The sequence below is a fragment of the Homo sapiens genome, chromosome 9, assembly GCF_000001405.40.
Source record: "Homo sapiens chromosome 9, GRCh38.p14 Primary Assembly".
Classification (NCBI taxonomy): Eukaryota; Metazoa; Chordata; class Mammalia; order Primates; family Hominidae; genus Homo; species Homo sapiens.
The window spans coordinates 117,941,429-117,953,065 of NC_000009.12; positions in this window are offsets into that span (position 1 = coordinate 117,941,429).

Consider the following 11,637-nt stretch of genomic DNA (forward strand, 5'->3'; position numbering starts at 1 on the left):
GCAGTGGCTCATCCCTATAATCCCAGCACTTTGGGAGTCCGAGGTGGGTGGATCACAGGTCAAGAGATTGAGACCATACTGGCCAACATGGTGAAACCCTGTCTCTACTAAAAATACAAAAATTAGCCAGGCTTGGTGGCATGTGCCTGTAATTCCAGCTACTCAGGAGGCTGAGGCAGGAGAATCGCTTGAGCCTGGGAGGCAGAGGTTGCAGTGAGCCAAGATTGCGCCCCTGCACTCCAGCCTGGTGACAGAGTGAGACTCTGTCTCAAAAAAAAAAAAAAAAAAAAAAGAAAAAGTGAACATAAGTAGAAAAAACACAAAGAAAGATGCAATGTTAAGGTCAAGAAAATCTCCCAGAAGTAACTAGAAACATAAATATAATATGGGAAAAAAAGACAAAATTGAAGACTAATAGAAAAAAATTATAATCTGACCCAAGAAAATTACAAATAACAGGAAAAAGAGAAAGAAAAGTACCAAATAAATAGTGTAACAAAGGACCCACGGAGTACTCAGCATGTCATAGCATTATTGTTATAAGATTTCAGAACATGATGAATGAAATGCTCTAAGAGATATAGATTATATAGAAGGGACTCACTAAAAACAACATTGGCCTCTACCAGACAGTGGAGCAATATCATAAAATTTCTGAGAGGATAATTTCAAACCTACGATTCTATAGGCAAGTCATTATTATTAAAAACAATTTTTTCAGGCATACAGAAACTCAAAAACTTAACTCCTAGTTCCACTTTATCAGGAGGATGGAGAATGTATGACACACAAATGAGAGAGTAATCCGAGAAAGAAGTAGATGCAAGAATCAGGAAACAGAAGATCCAACAGCAAAGGGGTGAAAGATACAAGGGTTGAGAAGAGACCTGGGTCAGAAATTGCGAGTAGCTGCCGAACCAACAGTAGGAACTAGAGAAGGTGGAGATGGCAGGTGGCTCCTGGACAGAGAAATGGAAAAGGAACCTACACATTAACATGGTCTGATGCATGTTAGAACATTTAGAAAAACATTTGAGAATGCATTAGTAATAAGACCATAGAAAAGTAAGCCAGTGAAAATAAAATGAGTCAATTGTCCACTTCCAGAAAAGTTATATATATGAAATGTGTATGTATATATGATATATATATAAAGCATGTATATATAAAAGTTATATATATGTATACATACACACACATACATACACAATAACATATATACACAAAGCACACACATGATTAGAGTATACGGTATATTTCAGCTGTAGAAACAATTGCAGAATAAATTATAACTATAAATTTAATATAAAAGTTAATATAACTATATTGGGAGGACGGGAAAATAATTTAAATTGATGGATTGTATAAGAAAACTAATTTTTTTCCTCAGAGTATGAATTCAAGATGGCTAAGCATTTTTATAAACAAATGAAACAGTGTACCCATATGTCTTAGAAATATGGAGATAAATACTTAAGAAACCATTTAAAAATGTTGAAATAAGTTAGCTCTGGGGATAAATGGAGTAGAAACTCAATGTTTAAAAGCTTGAATTGTTGACTTTTTTGTAGGGTTTCATTTTATTATTTTTAAACTCGTGTTCAAAAGTGTACTTGGTACGGGCACTAGAGATAACAGAAATAAAGAGGCCAGGTAATACTCAACTCCTTATGGATATTGTATTATTATGGAGATAAATATTTAAAATATACATTAAAGAGATAGCTTCAGGCAGTGATTAGTTTCCATAAAGAAAATAAAAATAGGAAATGCATAGGATATGCGTGGAAATAGATTAAATCTGCTAGCTTAAAAAAAAAAAAAAAGTCATGGTTGACCTAAAATTCCAGCTAGATGATGATTATAGGAGACACACTTCAAGCTGTTAAGATAATTTTAAGTTAAAGAAGGAGTAAAAAAAAGCTATATTGGTCAAAAACTGGCCAATAACCCTGTCATAGCTATATGTATTTCAGAAAAAATATAGAATAGATTTTAAGAAAAAAATATTAGGAACGAAGTGACTCATTTTTATAGTGAAAAAGTGAGTTAGTCACCATGAAGAACAGCTCTGAACATGTACACAAATAATAAAAGAACCCCAAAATGAACAAAGCAAAAAATAGAGAATAAATTGATAAAAATCCCTATCAATTTGGAGGCAACAGAACTATTAACTTTTGAAACCATACATACTTGTTTTAAATATATTAATTAAAGATACGGAGGGGAAATACTTGGAGAAATACCACATCTAGAAAGGTGAAGGAGTAATCAGAAAGTAAAAACAGGATCATTTACATTCTCATGATAAGATGGAGAAGATGGAATTGCCAAAAAAAGGAGGGTGGGGGTTGGAGGAGTGAGAAGCGCCTCAGAGATGTCAAGTTGGGATAAGAACAGAGTAAACATTGTTTGGCCACTAATGGGCCATCAATAGCTGTTTCAGAAGTTCACCTGGGGCCACTTAGTCTGACTGGGAAAGGTTTTCAGATAAGTCAAGGATGTAACCTCTCCCGTTTCAGACACTTCTGCCCTCTGATCATTATTTCTCTGATCCACTCCACCATAGTCAGTTTCAGACTTTTCCGATGTTGTAGGTAAGCAACAGGGATCTGCTATTTTTCTGAGGGAGCAATCCATCTACAAGTGTTTCTCCTGTGCTTTGCATACTGGCTTGATTTGTTCTGAAAAAAGAAACTCATGGTGTTTACTATTGTGGGGACATTTAGCAATTTAGTGCAGAAGGCCACATTAGAAGAAATAAAAGAACTATATAGATGGGCACAAAGAGTCAAGTGATAGAATTAGCGATTTAGATGTGAGCTATTATAAAAGCTCCTGAGAGTCAAAATAGCTGAGAAACACCACAAAAGGAGTCTAGGCCTGAACTGAGATTTGAGGGTATTATGGAGGGACAAGAGGGAAAAGGTAATGAAGGCAGGGAAGGAATTGCTTTAGGAGATAATGTTGACTGTGTTTCTCCAGAAACATATGCCTATATCCAGAAACACAAAACCCCTGTCTGGGTGAATGTGAGCCTCATCACTTTATTCTAGTTTCAGCTCTGCCATTCAGCTATTGTGTGATTTTGTACAAATCCAACTTTCTTAGGTCTAAATGGCAATTAATAAACCTATTGCATCACCTAGGGATGATGGCTCTTTTAGTATTGTTTGAAATGCTTGCTTCCCGGTGCCATAAAGAAATAGCACTTGAACATAAATTTAATTTACTTGCAAGGCCATTTTTACTTCTTGCAGAAAGGGTACACTCGCCAGCAGTTTTGCCATGAGAGCACACCGAACAAAGGAGATAGGGTCATTTATAACTTGACATGTCCACCCTACTGCTGTGTCTGGTTTCCATTGACTGGAACGGGACCTCACATTCTGTATTTGTTCTGACTGGCTAGCAACTTAGAACTTTTTAAAAGAGGCAAAGGCAGAGGAGAACAAAGGAAGGAGGAAGTAACTTGCGGAATGCTGAGAAAGGTAAAAACACCTTCAAATAAGGAAGAGGAACAGGCTATGACCTAATACTTTTTTGGACCAGTATAAGCATGCCAGGGCAAATATTTAGGCTACATTGTGGGAGCTAAGGACATAAAGTACATTGATTTCTTTATCACGGCTAGCAGATATTTAAGAATGTTAGCACAGTTATTTGAATAAATTTTGCTTGTAAGAGAAGTTAATATTTATTCCTAATTAAATGGGGAGGAAAGGCTTTGAAGAGGAACCTCTATTTTACTTTTTACAGTATTATAAAATGGGGCAAACAAGGGAGCAGTGATGGGGGTTGAGTTGTCGGACTTGGTGACTGCCTTTTATCTTTAATTCAATCCAAGTCATTCATTCATTCAATACACATATGTTAGGCCGCTCAGGTTTTGGAGTGGAATAAGACATTGTTCCACGTAAGATAGACATTATGCAACTAATTACTCAGTTGATTATATAAATCCTTAGCATGCACATCAGAGGTTGCATTATCTGCTTTTTACTCACCTCTACTGCCCATGTCTTGGAGCCCTTGAGGAGTCATCACCTAGGCCTTCTTTCATTTTCATGACGTGCTCTGCTTCTTCCCTGCTCAGAGACTTGGGGCACTTCACTTTCTTTCTGTTTCTCTTCACTCCTCCTCCTACTTCAGATCTTAGTTAAAGTGTCCACACCACAAGGAAGCTTTTCTTGAAATCCAGCGTGGAGTCAGGTTACCCCATAGCATCTTATGACTCTCCATTGGGGCAGTAACCAGAAGTTGTAAATACAAATTAAATAATGTGATTTAATTTCTGTATTTCTCTGCTAGAATATATGCCCTAGGAGAGCAGGAATATTTTTATTATTGTAACTCTAGACTTTGTATGATGCCTGCCTATAATAAGCCTTCAACACACATTTTCTAAATGACTGGTCAGACATTCGTAAAAGCTATTTTCAGAATTTTGGTCATAAGCGACTATTCATCCCCATGAATCTCTAATTTTCTTTAACAGCCGGTTACAGATCCATCTTCTCCAGGTTTATCTAACCATCCCTGATTCTATTTTTATATACTTGCAAGTTCTTTAAGTTATCGCAGAAATGTCAGACCCAGAACCAAATTATATTATCTTTGTCCATTATTACCAGGAGTCAAAGACTTTTCTTATTCTACTTTATTTTTTCATTTACTGGTAAAATTGGGAGGCAAGGAGAAAATCTACTCTAATAGGGGCGTTTACTGCAGTATAGAAATAACTGGTAATTATGCTCTTTAAATGAACTTGACTCTGTGGCTCATGTAAGGTTTTGCTAAGTGCCCTGGGCCCAACTGAGACTAATTAGGCCTGCATTAAATATTAAAGCTTTCTGACACCCAAGTTTTGACAGTGACAGAAGAAAAGAAATCCTGTAACCTAATCTGAACCCAATAGAAGTAATTTATGTTCCCTTCTTATAACAAAAGAAAATCCAATTATGTTGCTGGCTGGCAAATATATTTAAAGCAGAAATTAATGTAAAAAAATACATAAACACACAGACACACAGAGTACACAATAAATGTACTCTATTTAAAATAAAATAGACTACATTTAAAATAACACAATAATGTCAACAGATAGTTCTGTTTGCCACCAACTACATCAAATGCCTGTTGATTGTTCTGCTATAAACTTGTGTTTGGTTGGGAAATAGGTTTTCGCCAGTAAATAATATAGCGTAGGGGCATGGAGTCAGCATGAGCCTTTGGATAGTAAGAATATAATAATGCCACTTTCACATAGAAAAGGCTGATTGTATGTAGACCTCATTTCCAATCCATCTCCAGAAGATACCTTTTTGTTCCTTCAATTACTGAGTTTGTAAAGGGACAATTTGCTCTTGCTCACAGGTGGGGGCCAGCCCAAGGTCAGGAACCGTGGTCTAAGTCCCAGCTTTATTCTTAGTTGGAGGAGTGGCCTTAGGTATGTCACAGGGCCCCTTAGGCCTTTTGGTTGTCGTTTTCATAAAAGGCAGCTTGTCTTGCTGCTGACAATCATCTTTGAGAGTGTTAGACTTAAATGAGATCCTGCAGTAGTTTTCACCCTCCACAGGTAGCAAAATCTTTACTCTAAACAAATTGTACTTGATTCCTTGATGCTAAAACAAAAGAAAAACCTGGAATTTTATTACTACAAACATATTCTATAAGCCCTCATGTATATTTTTTACTTTTCTTGGAGCCCCTCAGTAAGAAAAACAAAACAGCTTTTAATACAATGTTTTCACAATGGCAAAGTTCAAACACAGACAAAGGTAGAGGCAATGGTATGATAAAGCCCCAGGCATTCATCACCCAGATTCAATAATTACCAATTCATAATCAACCCAATTTCAGCTCTCCACCTCACACCTCACTTTTTAAAAGACAGATCCTCCCTCATTAGATTAGTTCATTCACAAATATTTTATATGATCTTGAAAATATAAGTGCTCCTTTAATCATTGTGATATCAAATTCAAAATTAACATTAATTCTCAAATAAATAGGGCTATTTTGATGAAAAAAATATATAGGAAGGAACAAGAGATCTTCAAGGGTCATCATTCCTATGTCAAAAATCCTATTTGTTTTTAAAATATATATTTTTGCTGTAAAATATACAATCCTGATTGGCATACGAAAGTACTTTCAAATACTAACAATCTCAGTAATGTACCAGGCAAAATTGAGACTATTTTTAAATGAGCGGGATTGGTAAAAGAATTTAAATGCTACCATTTACACCAAAATAAGTTAATTCAGCAGCTAAAGTTAAGAATCTTAATTTTCTCACTTTGTTAAAATATGACTTGGGATTCATGCTATTTATTATCTTTATTTTTATTATAATTTTTGAGAAATTATTTAATGTACCCCAAAGACTAATATAAGTTTTCACACAAACTATGCCCTCAATATGTATATATTGGATGAGAAATGAATAAATAAAAAATGATATTTTAGGCAGGGCGCGGTGGCTCATGCCTGTAATCCCAGAATTTTGGGAGGCCGAGGCAGGCAGATCAACTGAGGTTAGAAGTTTAAGACCAGCCTGGCCAACATGGTGAAACCCCGTCTCTACTAAAAATACAAAAATTAGCTGGGCATGGTGGCTCATGCCTGTAGTCTCAGCTACTCGGGAGGCTGAGTTAGAAGAATGGCTTGAACCCTGGAGGCAGAGGTTGCAGTAGCGGAGATAGCACCATTGCACTCCAACCTGGGCAACAGAGCGAGACTCCATCTAAAAAAAAAAAAAAGATATATATATATATATATATATATATATATTTATATATATATTTATATTTATTGTATTTTAAGTTTTAGGGTACATGTGAACAACGTGCAGGTTTGTTACATATGTATACATGTGCCATGTTGGTGTGCTGCACCCATTAACTCATCATTTAACATTAGGTATATCTCCTAATGCTATCCCTCCCCACTCCCCCCACCCCACAACAGGCCCCAGTGTGTGATGTTCCCCTTCCTGTGTCCATGTGTTCTCATTGTTCAATTCCTACCTATGAGTGAGAACTTGTGGTGTTTGGTTTTTTGTCCTTGCAATAGTTTGCTGAGAATGATGGTTTCCAGCTTCATCCATGTCCCTACAAAGGACATGAACTCATCATTTTTTATGGCTGCATAGTATTCCATGGTGTATATGTGCCACATTTTCTTAATCCAGTCTATCATTGTTGGACATTTGGGTTGGCTCCAAGTCTTTGCTATTGTGAATAGTGCCACAATAAACATGCGTGTGCATGTGTCTTTATAGCGGCATGATTTATAATTCTTTGGGTATATACCAGTAATGGGATGGCTGGGTCAAATGGTATTTCTAGTTCTAGATCCCTGAGGAATAGCCACACTGTCTTCCACAATGGTTGAACTAGTTTACAGTCCCACCAACAGTGTAAAAGTGTTCCTATTTCTCCACATCCTCTCCAGCACCTGTTGTTTCCTGACTTTTTAATGATCGCAGTTCTAACTGGTGTGAGATGGTATCTCATTGTGGTTTTGATTTGCATTTCTCTGATGGCCAGTGATGATGAGCATTTTTTCATGTGTCTTTTGGCTGCATAAATGTCTTCTTTTGAGAAGTGTCTGTTCATATCCTTTGCCCACTTTTTGATGGGGTTGTTTGTTTTTTTCTTGTAAGTTTGTTGGAGTTCATTGTAGATTCTGGATATTAGCCCTTTGTCAGATGAGTAGATTGCAAAAATTTTCTCCCATTCTGTAGGTTGCCTGTTCACTCTGATGGTAGTTTCTTTAGCTGTGCAGAAGCTCTTCAGTTTAATTAGATCCCATTTGTCAATTTTGGCTTTTGTTGCCATTGCTTTTGGTGTTTTAGACATGAAGTCCTTGCCCATGCCTATGTCCTGAATGGTATTGCCTAGGTTTTCTTCTAGGGTTTTTATGGTTTTGGGTCTAACATTTAAGTCTTTAATCCATCTTGAATTAATTTTTGTATTAGGCATAAGGAAGGGATCCAGTTTCAGCCTTCTGCATATGGCTAGCCAGTTTTCCCAGCACCATTCATTAAATAGGGAATCCTTTTCCCATTTCTTGTTTTTGTCAGGTTTGTCAAAGATCAGATAGTTGTAGATATGTGGCATTATTTCTGAGGGCTCTGTTCTGTTCCATTGGTCTATATCTCTGTTTTGGTACCAGTACCATGCTGTTTTGGTTACTGTAGCCTTGTAGCATAGTTTGAAGTCAGGTAGCATGATGGCTCCAGCTTTGTTCTTTTGGCTTAGGATTGACTTGGCAATGTGGGCTCTTTTTTGGCTCCATATGAACTTTAAAGTGTTTTTTTCCAATTCTGTGAAGAAAGTCATTGGTAGCTTGATGGGGATGGCGTTGAATCTATAAATTACCTTGGGCAGTATGGCCATTTTCACGATATTGAGTCTTCCTACCCATGAGCATGGAATGTTCTTCCATTGTTTGTATCCTCTTTTATTTCATTGAGCAGTGGTTTGTAGTTCTCCTTGAAGAGGTCCTTCACATCCCTTGTAAGTTGGATTCTTAGGTATTTTATTCTCTTTGAAGCAATTGTGAGTGGGAGTTCACTCGTGATTTGGCTCTCTGTTTGTCTGTTATTGGTGTATAAGAATGCTTGTGATATTTGCACGTTGATTTTGTATCCTGCGTCTTTGCTGAAGTTGCTTATCAGCTTGAGGAGATTTTGGGCTGAGACAATGGGGTTTTCTAGATATACAATCATGTCATCTGCAAACAGGGACAATTTGACTTCTTCTTTTCCTAGTTGAATACCCTTTATTTCCTTCTCCTGCCTGACTGCCCTGGCCAGAACTTCCAACATTATGTTGAATAGGGGTGGTGAGAGAGGGCATCCCTCTCTTGTGCCAGTTTTCAAAGGGAATGCTTCCAGTTTTTGCCCACTCAGTATGATATTGGCTGCGGGTTTGTCAGAGTGCCTCTCCTCCTCCAAAGGAACGCAGCTCCTCACCAGCAATGGAAAAGAGATATTTTAATCAAATAGTTGTAGAAAGTAAGATATCTATGAAAAAACCTTAAAATCACTGGAATCCTAGATGAACAAAAAAACTTAAAACAATGAAATGAATAAATCAAAGACAATTTCATTATTATTTTATTACTTTCTAATTAAAACTTGTTTACTGGATGTATCCACATACCCTTCTCTGACTCTTCCCCATCAAATTTTCTGAAATTTGAAAATAAAGAGAAATGATCTGTAGTGGGCAAAGATAAAGAAGAGCAAATGAGATTGTCCAGGATAAAAAGTTCAAGAATTAAGAGTACTGGGTTCCAGACTCTCCTCGGCCATCACTGACCTTAGGATCCTGGCTGGCCATTTCCATCCATGGGACCCCAGTAATGTAATGCAGTCAGGGATCAAATACCATAATTGTTCTTGCCTCTTTGGAGTCTCAATTTTGTGATTCTCAGTATAGGGATGGGACAAACTAGTTACTTAGTTTTGAGTAAGGTACATCACTTGGAGAAATAACTTTTCAGTAGCATTTTAAGGACCTGTCTGAAAACTTGGGGACAACTTAAAGTTAGCATCAGCCCATCTCTCCAAATCTGGCTGCCACACTAGTGTTAAAAATAATTAGTGTGAGAGTAGTCCTGGAGCACATTGGAACTGCGCAGTAAGGAGGGCCTTTCTGAGTTTATTGGAAGAGAGAGTGATCTCCCTATGAAAGAGTGGTATACTTAGTGTGGAAGATATTACAACTCATCATTCCCTTGCTTGAGTACAGCAGCCTTCAGAAGCAGACTTATTTATTTATTTTCCCATTTCCTTTCCCCACCCGCTCTGCTAAAGCACATTATGAAATTATGAAAAAGCCATTTTCTATCCAAAGGCAGCTGGTTGCCACGGGTTACGAGAGCCTTTTCTGTCCCCAGTGTGATTTTGCTGACCGAAACCATCCTAGGAGGGAAGGATTGAAGAAGGACGGGAAAGTGAGGCTGCGGATCAAATCCCAGCACCCTCCCCCTTTGTCTCCTCCAGACATACGGCTCTGGAGATGCTGTGTTGGGATGCCACTTCCAAAGCCCAGGTGTCTCACACAGGCCTAGCAGGGAATACGAACGCATCTGAGGCAAGGTAGTTGGGGGAAGACAGGGTAAGGAAGTGATCAGTTAGGTGCCTGGAGAGATATTTCAGATGATGAGATGACTAAAAAGGTTACAATATGTTGGAAGATGGAAAGCAGCTTATTATAGATTCTCTGTCTTTCTCTCCCCCTCTCTTCCTCCTCCTGCACCCCTCCCCCTGTACTATTTTGGAATAATAGCAAATTAGAGTTGGAAGTCAGTACAGTTTTACATTTCATATTGAATTATATCCATATCCTCCTACCTCAATAATAGCTCATTCAAGCTGTGTTTGAATTCTTAGACCAACATGGAACTCACACCTTCCTAAGCATCCTGTTGGGAGATTGTTTGCATTAATATTGATAATAAAATCAAATAGTTATTGGATCTGGGCTACATCCTGGTCTATGAAATAATTGCCTTCATTTTAACCTTACAAATAATTAATGAGTTTGAGGTATTATAGACCTGTTTCTCACACGAGTAAACTAAGGCCTAAGTTTATATATCAAGAATCGACATTTTAAGGAGTCCAAATCCTTAAACTTCGGGCCTTTTAGCTGTGTTATTCTGCTTATTATATACTTTACTTTCCATTTCTCTCTCTTTTCAGGCATATATCTCTATTACTTCAGTTTCATGTTTTCATTTCTCTCACCTTCCTGGTGATTTTCTATACCTCTCCCTTTGTTAATGTCTTTTTTAAACTCTCATGCCCTGAATTGTTTATTTAGTTGAGGTAGTCTTATCACTGAAAGAAATAGCCCCTTCTCTATTCTCCAAATTTTACTTCTATTAATTCATTTGAAAGCAAATACCTTTTTCTGGCCTTCACATATATTACATTTCTGAACTCTCTTGAGTCAGCTGAAAGCCCCAAGCCTGCTTCATCCATGCTGAGTTTAACTTATGCTCTTTCTATCCTTTTTAGTTTTCTTAAGTGAGTAGTGGCAGATGCTTATATTTCTTCATGTGAAATTTTATCTAATTGGTTAGTTTTATCATTCTAGTTCTGGAGAACTCCTTAGATACTAATTTTTTTCATGTACCATATTCAATTTCTCCAGCAAACTATGACTTAATTCATGTCATGAATAAAAATGTAATGATAATTATACAGAATGTGGACAAGGATGGAATGTCATGTCCAGAGATCTAAACCTGGCAAGGATCATAAATTTGTCTTCCAGATTAGCTAATAAAAGGATATTGGAACAGGACACTTAAGGAAAATGTGCTTTGGGGAGGAGGTTGGCTCAAAATTGCATCAGTTTTTAGACATACGGCTGCTGGCAGGATAGAGCAAAACATTCTAGACTGTGAACTACAGCTGCAGACATCACATCCTGTGCAGATGCAGACTCTGTTTACATAATATTAACATGTTTTCAAAATTACTTTTAAAATCAAGTAAACGTTAATTCACCTAGCAAATACTTAACCAACACTGACCAGGTAGATATTAAGAAATATATTTATTTAAAAGCATCTGTCTATTGTACAAATATTTATCATAGTTTTTTCCCT